This window comes from Homo sapiens, chromosome 14 (genome assembly GCF_000001405.40).
Source record: "Homo sapiens chromosome 14, GRCh38.p14 Primary Assembly".
In the NCBI taxonomy this organism is placed as follows: Eukaryota; Metazoa; Chordata; class Mammalia; order Primates; family Hominidae; genus Homo; species Homo sapiens.
In genome coordinates, this window is record NC_000014.9 from 98904354 (window position 1) to 98923816 (window position 19463).

Below are 19463 nucleotides of genomic sequence, written 5' to 3' on the forward strand. Positions count from 1 at the left end.
GTGCTGAGGTGCTTGGCATATGCCTGAGAAGCTCATTAATGAGAGAAGTTATCCGTTCACTCATGTATTCACTCACACATAAATTCTTCCATTCATCTATTCATTTGTTTCTTTATTGCAGCTTAGACTATTTTACTCATTTTCTCCCTCACTCATTCATTCATTCAGAGTTTTACTAGTTTATGTATAGATACAGATCCAGATCCAGATATAGATATTGATTGATATAGATTCCCTTGTTCACTTACTCTGTATTAATGCATCCATCATCCACTTGCCCACTCATCTATTTATCCATTCATCCATTCATTTATTTCCCCAGACATTGACTCACATTATTAATGTATTTATTAATGCATTCACCCATCCACTGTCTATTTATCCATCCACTCAATCACTGCATTTATTCATTAACTTGAACACATATTCACTCAAGAATCAGCTCCTCCTCCAGGGAAAGCAAGTAAGAACAATCAAGGCGAGGGTGTCACCTGCTCACACCTGGGTCTCACACAGGAGATGAGCTTCAGACTGCAGTCAGCCCACCTCAGGGAAGAAGTGAGTCACAGCAAGATTGGGAAAGGAGAGGCCAGGTTCTTTAGGGCACCAGGGGAAGAGGGTAATCTGGGCCAGGGCAACCAGGGAGCTCTCCCCTAAGGGCGGTGCTCCCTGAGGCCACGGAAAACTTCCAAAGGCATGTGGGGCAGTGGTGAAGACTGCTCCCTCAGGTGCTGGGTGGGCAACTGGGCCAAGGAAGGGGAATCCCACCCTCGTCTAGCAGCCGCCAACTTCACAAGTAAAGATACGGGCTGCTGGGTGTCCTGGCTAGGGCAGAGGAATATGGAGCTGCAAGATCCTGGACTCCATTCTAGAACGGCCACCAAGGAGTCCTGAGACCTTGGGTGGCTTCCTCAACCTGAGTGAGCCTCACATGGTTCCCTGTCCTGGAGCTGTTTTGAGGACACCGATGGATGAAACCATTGTCCGTGTCCCAGCCGTGAGGCTCCCTGAGGGCCCAGACCCGGGACTGGGCCAGGCTTATTCCCTGCTGTCTATCCAGAGCCTAGAACAGGGCTGGCACACAGTGGATGCCTGGTAAATATTTGTTGAATAAATGAATGATTGAACTGGAAAGGGATTTTTGAAATTATCTCGTCCAGTCATTTTCAAACTCTCTTTTTTTTTTTTTTTTTTTTTGAGTCAGAGTCTCGGTCTGTCACCCAGGCTGGAGTGCCCTGGCGTGATCTAGGCTCACTGCAACCTCCGCCTCCTGGGTTCAAGCAATTCTCCTGCCTCAGCCTCCCGAGTAGCTGGGATTAGAGGCACCCGTCACCACGCCTGGCTAATTTTTGTGTTTTTAGTAAAGACGGGGTTTCACCATGCCCCTTGGCCAGGCTGGTCTCGAACTCCTGACCTCATGATCCGCCCACCTCGGCCTCCCAAAGTGCTGGGATTAGAGGGGTGAGCCACTGCGCCCGGCCATTTTCAAACTTTTAAGGGGCTGCAGGGATCACTAGAGAAAGTTTGGGGCTGTATCCTACTTGACCTAAGTACCTCCATTTTTAACTGTTTACATATTGGGCTTTCCAAATTTCATTTGCAAACTGAAATTCTGCACACAAAAAGTTACAAAAATCAAAATTTTGAAAAATTATGGTCTAATTCTTCCCTTTTAAAGATAAGACACTAACGCCCAGAGAGAGAATACAACGTGCCCAAGATCGCCTAGCAAGCTGCTGATGGGGCCAGAAAGAGGATCCAGACCTCCAGACTCCACATCCAGGGCCCTTCTCACACTGCCCCCATCACCTGGCCTCCCTCTATCCTAATGTTGACTCTGCAGGCTTTCAGGGGCCACCTGCCATCCAGTCCCCCTCCTGTGGGCTTATCAGTGGCTGCCTACAGGACTCTGAGATTCCAGATGGAAACGGAAAGAATGGTAAAAAGGAGGTAATTGGGCCAAGTTGTGGAGGGGGGAGCTGTCTCAGCCAGGTATGCAGCGTCTCCTCAGGTGGAGAATCTGGCTAGAAATTCCGAAGGGGACAAAAGCTAACTCCATATGACCATGGTGTTGGGTTTTGAAACCCTATACGTTTTTTAAATCTATAATTATGTGGTACACACCTAATTAAAATGGACTATAATTGTTGAAATATTTTATTGAAGTCATTTTTTTTTTCCGAACGACAGGTTTAACAGATGATAAAACTTGTCTTGTGGTTAACTTGGGCTGCCAAGATCCCCAGGCACAGTACAGAGGGTGGGGCTGTCCGACAGCGGACAGTCAACTGCATCTGAATGCCAGCATTCTTTGCTAAGCACTCCCTTCTGAAGGCTCCTCTTGGGCCCCATGCCAAGCGCTCAGGACGGAGACAAATAGCCTGGGTGGGTGTTTTGTGCACAAAGATGATTGAGGTTTGCTTTTGCTCGATGGAGAAATCCTTTGAAATTGTGCTCCCGGGGAGCAAGGGCAGCTAAGATCAGAGGGAACTGTTTATTCAAAAGCACAAGGAGAGAACAGTGATCCCTCCCCACTCACAACCCACACCCTCCTCCAAACTCCAAATGACCACGGCGAAACAGGCCTCGACAGCGTCAGGGAGCTGCATCCTCACGTCTTCCAAAGGATGAGATGGATGTTTCTCTACCCGTGCCTCCGACAGGAGTTGCAGTTTACTGACAGTCTACCAGGTGCTCAGTGCTTTGTATGCTTTGTTTCTAGTATTTACTACCCACTTTACAGATGAGGAAACTAAATCATAGATAAAATGAGTGGTTTAAGGTCTCGCGGCAAGGAAATATGGCATAGTCTTAACCCCAGCTCTGCCAAACTCGGAAGCCAATGTTTTTCCACTGCTGTGTTCTGTCTCAAAGGCTGGCTCAAAGCGCGCATCTTCATTATTCAAAAAACGGAATCAGCCTGCGGGAGGGAAGGGCAGGAAAGCATGCCCCAGGAGTTGGGGGTTCCTTTTCATTTGTGTTGTCTGTCTGTCCTCCCTACCCAGCCCTGCCGGCAGCATGGGGGAGGGGGCATATTACAAGATCCAGGGGTACTTCCCAGCCCACACCACCAGCACAGCAAGGGCTAGGCCAGGGAGGCAAGGGAGAAGTTTGCTCCCTTTCCTGCCTGAGAACCAGGGGGTAGTCATTTGACCCCCAGTTCTGAGCTCAGCGAAAGTGAGAGCAGTAAGGTAGGGCCCTAGTTGTGAGCCACGTGCCGTTGTCCAGATTTTGTGATGGCTTTATCCTCTGTGATTGTCCCAACCCAGCTGTTAGGCAGCTATTGTCATCCCTGGGCTACTGGTGACCAACAGGGGCCTAGCGGCTGCAACAGACCTAACCTGACCCAGCTAAAACAAAGCTCCAAAACCACCCTAAAAAACGTATTCTGGGAGTTTCTCCATTTTGCGTTGGTGTTTTTTTGTTCCTGTGCTTTCTTTGTTCTTCCTTTGCCTGTCTGCTCTCCCTCAAGCTTGCCCTTCATTTTTGCCGTCATCATTTTTATTGAGCACCTACTATGTGTGAGACCCTCTGCTAGATGTGCACTGTGGAGGAAACACGCTTCTTGAATTCCAACGCCCACTCTCCCCCGGGGAGTTGCAGCATTCGACTACTCTCTGCTTCCTAAGTGCAGTTTCTGCCTTACAAGTCCGGCCCTCGGGGTTGTTGTGTGGAAGGAGGGGACGATGTTTGTGTAGGGCCTGGCTTAGGGCCTGTGAGCCCCTGCCCCTCCTCCAGCCCCCCACCTGCCCCTTCCTTCCCTTGGGGGAGGGACAGAGCAGGCTTCATGCGGGACTCATTCTGACAGCTGTCCGGGAAGGGGGGTGATTTGTACAAAGCAGCCTGACTGTGTCTAAATCCCTCCCTGGGGCACTGTTTCCAAATTACAGTGTGGCAGGTTTGATCCCTGCCACCCCGCCCCACCTGCCTCCGCAGGACTTTCCTCCATCCTGGGCCCTGTGTGATGGGATGACGAGCCCTTCCATCTGCCCCACCGTCCCTCCCAGTCCTCCTCCCTCACTCCTTCCCCACCTATTGGATCTGTCTGTCCATTTGGCATGGGGTGAAGCAGGCGGTGCCTACCCTTCAGCTCTCAACCCCAGGATAGTGACAGCAGCAAGCAGACAATTACATTCTAGAACCAATTAATTAACTGAATGCTCCCCTGCCAGTTGCTTCATATCACTGTCTTATCAAGTCTGAGAGCACTGTCTCATTAGGCCCATTTAAGAGATGCGGAAATGGCAGGGCAAGCAGATCACCACCCCAGGTGACAAATGGCCTGGATACAGGTGGATGGGATGCCTACTCAGGGCCTCCTGTCCTATTTATAGTAGGAACGGCTGCCTTTTGAATGTGCCCTCTGGCCTCGGACATGCTGCGTACAGGAGCACCGATCCTCAAAGGACCAGTGAGGTAGGTACCACCTGGCTCACCTTACCCATGAGAGAACTGAAGTCAGGGAGGGCACATGATGGGCCAGGAAGCCCTGGCTAAGCACACTGGTAAAATGAGACCTCGTATCTTTGCAGCCCTCTAACTTTCCCTCCCTTTGGAGACGCAGATGAAGGGGAAACCAAGCTGCCTTGGAACTGGGCTGCCCCCATGCACCATGGCCATTTGGAACTGGGTAGTGAGAGGCTGCCCTGTCCATTGTAGAATGTTTAGCAGCATCCTCTGGGAGTAGCAAACTCCCCTCTCCTGGGACAGTTGTGACAACCAAAATGTCTCAACATTGCCAGATGTCCCCTGCGCGTGGGGGGCGGGGGGTAAAATCACTCCTACCCCAGTTGAGAACCATTGCCTCACAGTCTTCAGCTTTTTTTCAAGAAAGTCTATGTTATTTCTCTGAAGGACATCTAGAAATTCAGAATGCACAATGCCCAAAAGGGAAAGAACACGGAGCATGTCACAGCAAACACTGATCCCACATGGCATTATTATTATTAATCACTAACTTGACTACAGTCGGTGGGAATGAATCGCTCTGGGGGGGTGGACAATGGGACTTCAGGACATCACAGTCGGAGTGCCACGGCTGACTCATAGGCGACTTTGGACAAGTCTGTTTGCCCTTTTGGGACTCAGTCTTCCCCTCTCTAACATGGAAAGCCTGAAGGATGTGACTCACAATGACCGTTTTAATCTAGTATTGGCAGATGTCCCAGATTTTGCCACCGTGGGACCAATGTTATCACATAGTACAGAAGCCAATGTCCTCTGGGTTCTGATCACCTGGGTGCAGACTGTGGCTTGAGTACTTACTGGCTGGGTGACCCTAATCAGGTCATGTAACATTGCCATGCATCTGCCTCCTGCTCTGTAAAAACTCTGGGATCATAGCAGTATCTGCCTTATAGAACTGTCATGAGCCTTAACTGAGAGGATATATACAATACAACAGTGTCTGACATTAGTAATAGCCTCGTAAGAATTAGTTATCTTTAGAAACCACAGGACCCTCAGTCCCAACCACAGCCCGGCTGAATCAGATCTCCCAGGGAGATCAGGAACCAAGTATATATGGCTACTGAAGGACGGATTTGGTTTTGCCAGGTGGAGATACAGTGCAGAAGAAATGGAGGGAGCATTCTCTGGCTGATTTTTTTAAATCCTCCACAAATGATTCTGAAGCAGTGAGTTGCTGGCCTGGCACTTAGGAACCACTGTAAGTTATATGAAGCTCTCTGACGTTAGGAATATTCCAATAATGTTTTGAGTGCCACTCTGTATGAAGGCCTGAGTGGTGCAAAGATGGAAAAGGTACTCTCTGTCCTCAGAGAGCCACTGCCTAAACCAGCAAAAACAACTCCTAAGCCACATATATAGTCCAAGTGGGCCTCTGTGTTTCAGGAGCACAAGGAAGCCTGAAACATGTGCTCAGCGATGACAGAGGAGACAGTGATCTGCAGGATTATCAGTAGGGCTGTGCAGGTTATTGACTGCACAGAGGCACCCAGAGAAAGGTCACTCTTCTTTCTAATTCGCATAAAAGCTCCATCGGGCCAGTGGCAGGTCTGGAGGTCATTATTCAAGCAGGCTGTTCTGGAAGCTCCTACTCATCCATCAGTGAGAGTTTAGCTGCCCCTTTCTCTAGGGAACCTTCCCGAAGACCCAGAAAACAGAGTCGACCACACCCTTTTCTGTGTCATGCCCTATTAAAGTCTTCCTTACCCCAGATTGTAAATGCATGTTTGGATTAACGTCTCCCCAACTTGTCTTTGAGCCTTTTGAGAGTAGTTACTGAGTTTGTTTGGTTTTTCTGGTGTTCTCATGTTAGCACCCCAACACAAGGTCTGGTACAGAGTAGGTGCTGAGAAGATGCTTGTATTTTGTTTTGTGGGGTTTTTCGGTGGGCGGGGGTTGCCTACTACAACTGCTAGCAGCAGATGCGTGTTGAATGAATAAATGGATGGATGGATGGGTGGATGGGTGGATGGATGGATGGATGAATGATGGATGATGAATGAATGAATGATTAAATAAATAAATAAATCCCAACTAACTAAGAGGATTTTAATGAACCTGGGTAGAAAGGACACTCCGTTACCAATCAAGCGAGCTGGATGTCAGCCAAAGTGACTTCCTGGAGGAGGAGCAAATGGCCCCTGAATGATAGATGCGTTTTTGCCAAGTGGAGACACAGTGCAGAGGAAATGTTGGGAACATTCTCTAGCCAATCTCATGCCCAGAAAATTAGATTTTAAAAAGTGAAAGATACCAGGAGTCGTTAGCGAAGTGTTCATGGTTTGATGGTTGCTGTGGCAACATGCTCTTCATTTGGGATGGAATCGCAAAGTAAATATTTTCATAGCATCAGCAGGATAATAAGACACATGTTGCCATATCTGGGAGAGAGCCAGTCCTCTGCACTCTTGTGTGGGTGTCCTCCGTAACTTGGTTATTTTGCCCACAGCTTCCCCTAAACATGGAACAACTGAAGGACTAGACACTTGGCTCCCATGTGCCCAAGAGACAGAGGAGCTCTGAATAGGGGCCTAAAATGCACTGTTTAGCAGGTATGTTCATGTCAAAAATGTTCCTCCCTGGCCTGGGGTCAGAAATGACCCTGTTTTAGTGCCTCACACATCTGGAGTATGACCTCATCTTGCCATGTGACCCTGGACAAGCTGAATTCTCCTCTGAGCTTCAGTTTCTGTATCCATATATTCCCAATACAAATACCCACCTCTCAAGACTCATAGTTGAATTAAATATAATACAACATTGACTTCATGGGCACTTAATCCATGTTGGTTTTCTTTCTCTAGAATGTTCCATGAATGTCCACTCCACACCCCACTGACAGTGTGAGGCAGATCGTCGAGACAGAAAACTAATAAAGTAGTTCTGGACTTATACTCAATGTTTGACCAATTGAACCCAATAGGCATTTACGGAATATGTTACTCAACCACAGAATATACATCTTCTCGTCTGCACTTAGAACATAGTCTAAGATCGACCACATGTTTGACCATAAAGCAAGTCTTAATAAATTCAGAAAAAGCAAAATAATTCCAAGTACACTCCTGGACCACCATGCAATAAAAAGAGAAATCAATACCAACAGAACCTCTCAAAACTACACAAAAACATGGAAATTAAATGACTTGTTTCTGAATAACTCTTGGGTGAACAATGACATTTAGGCAGAAATCAAAAGTCCTTTGAAATTAATGAAAATAGAGACACAGCTTACAAAATCTTTGGGTTGCAGTTAAAGCAGTGTCAAGAGGAGAGTTTAATCTCCTCTTAACACTGCTTTATTTAACTCTTGATGATAAATGCCTTCATCAAGAGTTAGAACAATCTCAAATTAATGATCTAACATCGTACCTAGGGGAATGAGAAAAAAAAAAAAAAAAAAGAACAATCCAACCCCAAAGCTAGTAGAAGAAAATAAATAAATAAAATCAGATAAGAATTGAAGGAAATTGAGATCCAAAAGTCTATAAAAAGATCAATGAATCCAAGAGTTGGTTCTTCAAAAGAACAAGCAAGATTCACAGACCACCAGCTAGCTAGATTAATGAAGAAAAAAAAAAGAGAGAGAATGTATATTTAAAACTTACGGAATTTCCTTTGAACCAGTAATTTCATCAAGGGACTCTGCATTTCAGTGGCCCAAATGGCAAAGATTTATGCCCAACAATTTCCACTGTAGTGCCATAAAAAATGGTAAAAATATAAGCTATGTCAGCAGTAGGGGGACACTTAAGTACACAGAGAAACGCTCATACAATAGAATATTCTGCAGAACTGAGAAGTATGAGTATGAGGCAACACAGGGAAACTATTCCTATACTCCTGAATTCAACTGGGAAGCTACAAACAAGATTCATAAAAAATTTCACCTTTGGGTTCTTTGCTTTACTGCACAGCTTTCTGTTTTGTTTTGTTTAGATACCATTAAAATAGAATACCTTGGGACAACTTCCTCCAACAACCCCAAAGCAGACTCAGCAACCAAGCATCAAAAAACCACAGCTGTCAAGAGCACACAAGTCGTAGGACATCACCAGGATGCTATGTGCTTCCTCTGAAGTAAATATACTGTGGTGGTACAGAAGACCTTGGGCAAGTGCAATGTACAGGGCACCCTGAACAGCAGCTACATGCCCTGTTTCGTGCTAGAGGCTATATGGAAGTGAGGAGAACAGGTTTGCCCTGGCCAGGAGAGACTGTAGTGAGAGAACAGGGATAATGTATAGAAGCTGCCTGTTATCAAGGGAGCCCTCTCACTGAGTCCTACAAATTCCTGGCCTTACTTCTAAGTCTCATCCCAGATACTCATGCTAGAGGCAGCTTCAGGGTTAGGAGCATGGATGCTGCACTGGGGCTGCCTGGGAGGAAAGCCCAGCTCTGCTAGGACCAGCTATGTGAGCCTGGGCAGGTGACGTGACCCCTCTCGGCCTGGTTTCCCCATCTGGAAAAGTACCCTCCTCATAGATGATGTGGGGTTCCTTGGTGTGTAAAGCTCTTAGGACAGAGCATACCTGTTGGCCAGTTCTAGATGAGGCCTTTCTATTAATATAAGTTCAGAGGCAGCTGAGATAAAACTGACTTCAAATCACATAATCTTTCCACTCAATACAACTGCCACATGTCCACAAATAGCTCTAAAAGAAGACTCTCAGAAGGGCTAACACAGAGGGTCAAATAGGACACCATGAAAGCTTCAATGAGGTGGGAACAGGATCACTGGAATTTGACTGCTTTGGGTTCAAATTCTGGTTCTGCTATTCACTAATGATCTACACTCCCTGCCTAGCTCCTCTGAGCCTCTATTTCTTTGTAAGATGGGGTTAGCTTCCACCTGCTCATGGAGTAATTTCCTTCAGCAATAATCACGCATCAGATGAAACTCAAGAACTGTGCTATTAACCTTGCACCAGCATGCCACAAGGGGTTATAGGAAAGACGACGTAAGAGAATCTATGTATTACAACTGCACGAGCCAGGTACCCACCGGTAAGGACAAGCCGAGTCTCTCGGCTGCAAAAGACTCAAGGAAGCAGCAGCTGAGCCAGTTCTTTGGGGAAGCAGGGGTTTCAGATGACACTGAAGGAAGACAGGACTTTAGACAGTCAGAAATGAGGCAGTGGAAGGGACAAGCCCAGGCAATGATCCAAAGCCCTGGAAGATTCTCAGATGGTCAGACTCAAACAGAGCCCCCAACACATGTCTGGAATATAGCAGGTGGTAGCAGAAAAGAAAGAAAGGAGGATGTAAAAGAGGAAGAAAGGATGGGGGAGAGAAGAACGAAGGAAGGAAAGAAACAAAGAAGGGAGGGAGGAAGGGAAGAAAAAAGGAAAGAAGGGAAAGAGGAAGGGAGGGAGGGAAGAAGGAAAGAAAGAAGAGAGGGAGGAAAGGACTGAGGAAGCAGGGAGGGAAAGAGGGAGGTAAGGAGAAGGATAGTTAGAGTCCAGACCTCTTCCCAGTTCCCCATCTGTGGCCAGTGCGATGCTAACCACTTCTCCCACTGCCTGACCCCACACAGAAGGCCCCTTGTTCTGCAGCCTGCTCTGCGTGATCTTGGGGAAATGTGATTACAAACCTTGACACTCCCATTTCACCCTTTCAAAGACCACTGTTCCCACTCAGGCGTCTGCTTCACCCCTCGTGACATAATGCACCCTGCTCACCACTGAGAGATTTAGTGTCCCCTCCCCAGCCTCCGAAAAGAAAAATGTAGCTTGAGATTTTAATTCCTATTCATGTCATTTTACAATAGCTTCATTCATTCCCACTGGCTGTATGATTTTTTTTTAATTTATGGAGTACATTTGTGATGTATGAATTAGAGAAAGAAAATGTTATTAGAAAGGTCCCAGGGAGTGAGCTGTTTCTTGTCTAAAGGCTGTGAAAGTAAGTGTGAAGAAAGAGGAGTGAGTTGGAAGCTAAGAGAGCCAGGTCTAGCTCACAAAGTGGCCCCCAGAGTACTGTGTGACTTTGGAAAAGGGGCTTAACCTCTCTGAGCCTCATGACTCTCTAAGGGATGGCTTCCCACGCTCGTCAAATAGTGTCTCTGCTAACAATTACAATACCCCTGTGAAGTAGGTATGGTTGTTACCATGTTACCATAATTAACATGGGATGTACCCTTTAGGGGACCTGGCCCCAGACCCCACCCCGTCTCACAGGGGCTCCAGCTAAAAGGAGGACAGGCTGAGCAGCTCTGCACTCCCCGACCCCTGCTGTCCAGCTTCAGCTGTCAGGGCCCCTGTGGGCAGAAGCACAAGTGAAGAAATTTAGTAAGGCTGCAGAGGCCAACGTTCTGGCCTCATAAAGCCCTTTTCCAAAACAGCTGCCCACAGCTGCCCAGAGCTATGTTCTGCAATAAATTGGCCCACTGCCCTGGAAATGGAGGGGCTGAGGGCTGGGGCACAGGGGCCAGGGTCGGCAGGAGGAGAAGGAAGAAAGGCATTCCTGGAGGAGTGAAAAGAGTCTCTCTCTGCCCTCTCAAGCCTCAGTTTCCCCAGGTGTAAAGTACAGAGAATCCCCCTCCCCCACATTGCACAGCAATGGTAAGGAGGAGACAGTATCGTGGAGGGTCCTAGGCGAGGCCTGTCACGGAGTGTGTTCTTGGTAGGTCCCCCCCCCAGATGTTAATATAACGTGCGTTCTTGGTAGGTCCCCCTCGAAAGTCCAGCACAACCACCATTCCCAGTTTCTGCTGTCATACAGCCTACCCCCACCCCTCCCCAGCCCCCAGACTGCAAGGAACATACACACCTCTCTCTCCCTCACAATAGACAAATTGCCAAATTCTGGGGCTTCTAAGCAGGTTGTGCCCTACTGAAAGCCAGGTACTGGCAGCTCAGTCTATGCCTGTTGAAAAGGCCATTCAGAAAGGGAGTGCTTTTCCTGGTTGGCTGCAGATATGTTTTATTTGTACTTCATTTACCAGAATGTCCCCAACAGGTTGCAGCAGAGGAAATAGAAGCATGACCTTGCTGGTCTGCACGTGTTCCCAGGCCAAGTCCCAGGGTGCAAAGTGAGCTCTCAGGCTTCCTTTCTGCTGAGGGTAGAAAATCATCTGCTCAGGATAACTTGGTGCCTTCTGATGTCAAACGGGGAAACACTCAGTCCCTTCAGGGTTTGTCCCTCTCCTCTCCAGGGAAGGTCTGAGCCCGGAGGGAGGGAAGTGCATATTATTCTGACCACAGTGGTCCCTTGTGCCCACTGGCCTTGGAGGGCTGACCCTCATGCCCCTCTGTCCTTGTTTTCATAGCCGGGGATCTGAGGATGACGGCTGCCTTCCTCTGTGCTCTCCATTCACAAGGCCTCCCTTGTGCTGAGTCCCCCAGCCCTCTCCCAGCAGTGCCCCAATCTCAGGGGGCTCAGATTCTCCTGGAGGCTTTGCAGACAGGTGCCATGCAGGGCCTGTGGGACTGTGAGGCCAGGAGACCCTTCAACTCACTGCTCTTTGCTCTGCAGCCTGGCGGGACCTGGCCCTTCCATCTAGATCATGAGCAGAGAAGCAAGATGCAGCTTCCCCCCGCTGCCTCTCTCATGGGTCTGGGCTTGCTGTTGCTGCTTCACCCAAAGTTGATCCAAGAAGGGGACAGGCATATCCTCCAGGTGGACCTATGCCCAGCAAAAATCAGCATTTATAATAATACACAATCTCTGTTTCCTCTGTTGTGAAAGACAGTGAGACACTGCAAAGTGGCATGCTTTGCCCTTGCTAACACAGTCAGGAAGTGGAGAACAAGGACTCACCTCCAATCCTGTATTCCCACCTCTGTCATTGCCATTGCACACCCATCCTGGTGTTTCCTAAAAACAGCAATGAGAAAACACCCCAACTTCCCTGTGCACTGGGTAATTGCCCTCCTCCTCTTACATAGACCGTATGCAAATCCCCTATTACATCACAGTTAGCAGAAAGTGACCCAAATGGAACTGTGAACACCCTATGGGCAGAAAATTAGAAGTAAGATCATATCAGTCCTTCTGACAGTTAAAGTAAAATTTTATGTGAGCAATATACTCTCACTCTGATTACCATGCAGTATAATTTTATTCTGGTTTTCCTGGGCCTGCTGAACCCCTGCTCTTTTAAGTGTTCCAATGCTCTGCTTGCCAAGATAAATGATTATAATTGACAGGGCATTGTCAATCTATCGAGAAGCTGATTTCATTAAGCATGCCAAGGGCCAGCTCTGGGGCAGGTAGCTGAGCGGAGAGGGGTTTGATCTCACCCTCTCCCTGTAGTACAGTCCACACTGGCACCAAAGGCTGGAGGGCAAGAGAACAAAGGGAACGTTATGTCTCTGAATTCAAATCTTTCCCTTTGAAATGAGGCGTCCAGAATGGCCAGTAAAACTGTGGAAATGGATTTCTGGCTGCATTTGATGTTAAACCTTTAGTGTCAAGCGCCAGGTCTACCGGTTGCCTTCCCCCCACCCTTCTTTTCTTTCTTCCTTTTGCTCCCCTTGTCTTCCCCCCTTCTCTGGATGGCCTTGTGGGGAATTTGTCTTTTCATAAATAATTTCTTAGAGTTGGCAGTTAGACAGTTGCATCCCATTTCTGCTTTGACGTGAGAAGAGCAAATTAAGTCTTAAAAGGATGGAGACTCACTCTTGTGTCTGTAATAGAATTGGTCTCATATAGATTGATTAAGACCCAGACTTCTCTGGCTTCAGTGTTAAATCCTCTGTTTATTAAGGCAACTCCATGCATGGAGTCTGTCTTTTCCCATTAAGTCATCATAATCCTGCATTCCATCCCTTTCTACCTAAAGGAAGAGTTGGAGAAAAAGTTCAGTCTGGGGCCTCCTCCCTAATCATCTGTGGCCAGATATACCCAACAAGGAGTCAAGCTTTCATCTTCAGGCTTTAGCCTCACCCTTGACTGAGAGAAGAAGATACAGCCATCCAAAGTGACGTCCTCGCCACCCTGCTGAACTGTGCTCAGGCTGAGGAAGAGGATGGAAAACAGAGCTTTGAACACCCAGCCCATCATCAGCTTGCAAAATCGCAGTGAAACTAGTGTGTAGCCCTCCCCACCCCGGCTATATCCCTGAGTGGGATCAAGCTAATCGGCCCCACTCACACTGTGGTTCATGGTTTGTGATAAGAGGAGAGGAGCTATGAAGAGAACAGGAAGCAAGATATGGAATCCAAAAAACCCAGTTTCCAGTCCTGATGCTGCCCCTGATGGACTGATTTTGGGCTGCTGACTTCTCCCTGGGCTCAGACTTACAGCTGTGAAACGAGACCCCCTATCACAAGTTCCAAAGCAGCTGGGACCCTCCAAATCCGTCATATGAAGAAGAGTTCATGTCCCTGCAAGAACACCACAGCCATTAACCTCATTCATGCTTCATAAGAAGTTAGCTGAGTGTCGTGGCGTGCACCTATAATCCCAGCTATTCAGGAGGCTGAGGCAGGAGAATCACTTGAACCCCGGAGGCAGAGGTTGCAGTGAGCTGAGATTGAGCCCCTGCACTCCAGCCTGGGTGACAGAGTGAGACTATGTCTCAAAAAAAAAAAAAAAAGTTAAGCAGAGCAAGTACTATTTTCTTCCACTCTCAGAGTGGGGAAATTGAGGCATAGAGCACCTGGCAGTAGTGATAGAGCCATTCAAGGGAAGAGTGCCATTTCCTGTAATAAAGCCACCTAGGTTGGCTGGAAATCACACACACACACACACAAAAAAAACTCAGGGTAAACTGTACCAAACAGCTTCTTAAACAGGTAGAACAGCTGGCAAGATAGCAAGAAGTCCTGAAGTCCAAATCTAACTGGGGTTAGAGAAGGAAGCGGAGTTGCAAAGCCCTGAGGACATCTGATAACCATATAGGGACCTTGACCTTGCATTTTCAGAGCCTCCAAGGGTACCGAGACATACGACAAAGCCTAGAGCCCATTCAGGTGGAGTGAGGATAGGAAGGGAGGTGAAGGGAGAGTGTCCAAGAGAAGATCCTCCTTATAAAAAGCCAGATTCTCAAAGGGCACAAGGGCAAGCTCAATGGACACACACACACACACACACACACACACACACACACGGAATATAGCCCGAGTGCAAAGCAGAAATGTCCTTAGAATGTCAGTTGGGGGCCCACAACACAGCGCCCCTCCCTCTCTGGCCTCCCCCTGAACTGCTCCCACACACTCCCCAGCTCTTACCATCCCCTCCTTCCCTGCCTCCCGTAGGCTGCAGTCTCAGGCTAAAGCTGCTGCTGGACACCCTCCACAAATACATCCCTCCTCAACCACAGCCCCAGCTTCATCCACATTGGCCAATCCCCATATCGATTATATCTCTTCAAAATCAGAACCCTGGAAAAAATCAAATCAAGCTTTGTCTGCTCAGGTGTTAGGATTTCTCTCCTAATAATAACAACAAATTCAATGAAAATCATAGACACGTCTTCTAGAAACAGCTTCTCTTATATTTTCATGGACCCAAACCATGTCTGAGAGATGGGACGGGGCACAGATGCCAGTAGAAAGGGGACATCATCTGGGGACACCACCCCTGGCCCCAACTCCACTTCTGGCTGATGCTGGCCTGGTGATGGTCCTAGTCCATTTCAGGGCTATGCCCAACATCAGATTCTCTGCAGCCCCACCTTTTTTCCTAAAGACAGAACCTGCTAAGGAAGGAAGGATGAGCTGCTCCAAACCCCTGGGTGTCACCTTGACCTCATCCAGGCCCTGAGCAACAGGACCAGGCCAGAGACCACAAAGTGCACCAGCAGGGGTAGTGCCCTACGAGGTCCCAGCAGGTCCCCACCTTGGCCACACCACACCACAGCCAGTGTGAAGGGCTGGCCCAATCCTTGGTGCTTTTTTGCATGCAATAGCTTCTTTGCTTCTCATGGCAACCCTGCGGAGTGGGGAGGGGCAGGACAGCCCTTACTCTGTGCATTTACAGATGAGGACAAAAGGCTGGCAGGCAAGACACCCAGCAGAGGCACAAGAGGACTGGGGAGAGGGGAAATGAGGATCTGAGAAGGTGCTTGCCGTTTACAAACAGCCTCCCTCAGATGAACTCAGAGAAAAGCAAGGAACAAGGCAACAGTTTCTAAGTTGACTTTTGCCATTGGAGCTGTGTTTCCTGTCCTTAAGCCCCCGGTGTCTGGACCACATGGTCACATCTTCAATAAAGTGAATTGAGTTTGGTTTATACAGCAGAAGAAGACCATCACCTTCTTGTCACTGGATTGATGGTGCTGAAATGGAGGAAGTAAAAGGGTTGGAGATGGGCCGGGTGCAGTGGCTCACACCTGTAATCCCAACAGTTTGGAAGGCCGAGGGGGGCAGATCACTTGAGGTCAGGAGTTAGAGACCAGCCTGGCCAACATGGCGAAACCCCATCTTTACTAAAAACACAAAAATTAGCTGGGCAAGGTGGCGCATGCCTGTAGTCACAACTACATGGGAGGCTGAGGCAGGAGAATCGCTTGAACCCCGGAGGCGGAGGTTGTAGTGAGCCTAGATCACGCCACTGCACTCCAGCCTGGGTGACAGCGAGACTCCGTCTCAATCAATCAATCAATATAAAATAAAATAAAATAAAAGGGTTGAAAAGGAAGGCAGGGAGAAGTACTGCATGCTTTGCCAGAACTAAAAATTAGTCCTGAAATTTTTGAAACCTCATTTAGGATTGGAAAGGGTGTCTAATTTCAAAGCTTCCAATTGATCTGTTTTTAACATATACATGAAGATGTGAATTTATCATTGGAGAAAGAGAATACTCTTGTTTTTGTGAAAAAACAACACATAACAGGTTCTTTTGGAGCTAAAGCAGAGGCCTGCAGCTGATACAGCTATATCTGTGGAACACACCATTCTATATCCAAGTCAGGATGTATTTGTTGAGACCTACTGTGTACCAGACACTGTTCTAGGCTCTGGAAAATGGCAGTGAATAAAACAGATAACAATTCTCACCCTCATAGAGAAGACAGATAAAAATAAGTTAGCTGACTTTAGGGCACATATCAAGATGTTAAATGCTTTGAAAGAGAACAAAACAAGGAGCAGGGTAGGGAATGCTAGAAGGGCTGCGAATTTAAATACAGCAATCAGGGAAACGCTGTTCTAAAAGGACAGAGAGTAAAGAAATGAACTATCAAGCCGTGAAAAAACATGGAGGAACCTTTCATGCATAGCACTAAGCAAAAGAAGCCAGTCTGAAAAGACTACATACTGTATAATTCCAACTCTATGACACACGGGAAAAGGCAAAACTTTGGAGACAGTAAAAAAAGATCGGTGGTTGGCAGGGGTCGGGAGAGACAGAGATGAATAGACAGAGCCCGGAAGACTTCCAGGGCAGTGAAAATACTCTACATGGTCATAAAATGGTGGATCCCTGTCAACGGAGTTCTTCATCGGCCCATCCCCACTATATTAGTCCATCCTCATGCTGCTATAAGGACATACCCAAGACTGGGTAATTTGTAAAGGAAAGAGGTTTAATTGACTCACAGTTCCACATGGCTGGGGAGGCCTCAGGAAACTTACAATCATGGCAGAAGGGGAAGCAAACACATCCTTCTTCATATGGCAGCAGCAAGGAGAAGTGCCTAGCAAAAGGGGGAAAGCCCCTTATAAACCATCAGATCTCATGAGAACTCACTCACTGTCATGAGAGCAGCAGCATGGGAGTAACCACCCCCATGATTCAATTACCTCCCACCGGGTCCCTCCCACGACCCATGGGGATTATGGGAACCACAATTCAAGATGAGAATTGGATGCGGACACAGCCAAACCATATCACCCACATGGACATAGAAAAAAAGGGACCAAATGCCTAGCCCTATCTTTTTAAGTGGATAATTTTTCTTTAAAGACATTAAGTGGAAAGAAGTAGGATTGCTGGTGTGGGCACCAGTGCCTAGATCCAAGTGCATGAGGATGCCCCAGGTCCACATCTTTCTTCATACAACTCCCTGACCCCAGAGGGGAACCTGCTCATCAGCCAGCTCTGCCCAGATACACAGAGCTCCCTGTTAGTTATCTAGAATCTCACCTTTTTAGTTAGGTGGTTAGTCAAGGCTCTCCAGACATCTTAGGGAAGTCTGAAAATAGAAGAGAAGCCAAAAGAAACAAACTGAAAAACCGATTTTAGAGAAAACAAAGATAATTCAGAGAAAATAAGCTTGTATCCTCTGAGATATGTAAAGAGATATTGCACCTATAAGGTAAGAACAAGATGCTATGTAAAAGGAACAATCATTTAACAAGAAAATGTTCTGGAAATTAAATATATGATTGTCAAAAGGGAAGAAAATTCAATGAAAGGCTTGGAAGCTAACATAAAGAAAATCTAGAGAGCAGAATAAAAATGTTATGAGATGGAAATATGAGAAAAAAAGAGAAGAGGCAAAGAAGCATGATTTAAGAGGTTCTGCATCCAACAAATAAATCTAGAAAGAGAAAACAGGTTAAAATGGAGAGAAAAGTGCCGTCTTAAAAAAATTATAATACAAAAGAAGGTGCCAAAGGTAGAAGACAAAAGTCTTCAGAAATACTGGGCCATTGAGTGGCCAGTACACAAATGTTTAAACAGATCCATAAGTAAGCATATCATTATACAATTTTAGAACACCAACAATAAAGAGATAAATGCTCAATCATCTAGGGATCATCTTCAAAGGAAAGGGAATAAAACCAAGGTCAGACGTGTCATTAGCACCTCTGGGTTTGGCACAATGGTGGAATTCCCTCCAAAGTTCTAAGGGTAAATAAGCAACAACTTGGAATTCTATATCCTGCTAAACTGTCACTGAAGGGCAAGAGTAGAATAATGTGTGAGAGATGAAGAAAGACATAATCAGACATACAAAGATTTATAGGAAACTTTATAGAGGCTATGCTTGTGTAATATAGTGAGTAAATAAGCAAGAAAGATGAATAAGATATAGTATTCAACTCAGGACATAGAATGACAGCTCTACAGCACCCAGAGTAATTGGACGAGACTAGAGCAGAAGAATGGAGGATTCCAGGGGTTGGGAAGAATCTGTGAAAAAGAGGTAGAATTCTATGGGTTTGAATTTATTTTTGAGAATTGGGGATACCTCAAGTAGGTGATGAATACAATTAGAAACTAAAAGAAGAAAAAGAAATGTACAGTATTTTTGGGGGTGGGAGATGGAGTTTGACTCTTGTCGCCCAGGCTGAAGTGCAGTGGCTCCATCTCAGCTCACTGCAACCTCTACCTCCTGGGTTCAAGCGATTCTCCTGCCTTAGCCTTCTGAGTAGCTGGGATTACAGGCACCCACCACCACACCAGCTAATTTTTGTATTTTTAGTAGAGATGGGGTTTCACCATGTTGGCCAGGCTGGTCTTGAACTCCGACCTCAGGTGATCCACCAGCCTCAGCCTTTCAAAGTGCTGGGATTACAGGTGTGAGCCGCCGTGCCTGGCTGAAATGAGCGGTAATTATAGTAGTAATCACAGTATATACTACTTGGCTGAAAATGAAATATTTACAGAATACAGTAAACATAATTTGTTTTCTGAACTTCTAGAATGCCTATATATAGACAAAGTGTTGTAGACTTAAGTTTATAAAATAAAAAATACATGTTATCAATCTTAGCAATATAAAAGCAAAAGTACAGTTGTTAGAAATGAGAAGTAGCAAGGAAAGAAGAGGTGATGAGAGATTTGCAGTGTTCCTATGTCCATTTTGTAAACAGTGAGTCAAATGTTATTGTATACAGTTGAATTAATATGTATTCATATATAATTTACATTTACAAATACAAATAATAAGGGAACTAAACTATTGTGAGGGGTGTGTGTGTATAAAATGAGTTGTAGGGAAAAAGACAAAGATGAAGGTGATGGTTCAAAAGAACAAATTCTTCATCTGTTACAAGAGGAGGCCAGCAGATGATGTCTAAAGCTGATTGTTCAAAAGAAAATGATTAATGTGTATATACACATGAAGTGAATCACCAGGATAAACAAAAACAAACAAGCAA

At 46.5% G+C, this 19463-nt stretch overlaps 1 annotated feature.

Annotated features, from left to right (window-relative positions):
• Positions 258-758: an enhancer, noted in NCBI's record as "H3K4me1 hESC enhancer chr14:99370948-99371448 (GRCh37/hg19 assembly coordinates)". NCBI's record gives its function as "activates a minimal SCP1, AML or CMV promoter by ChIP-STARR-seq in naive H9 embryonic stem cells {active_cell/tissue: H9 hESC(naive)}" and the evidence as "EXISTENCE:reporter gene assay evidence [ECO:0000049][PMID:30033119]".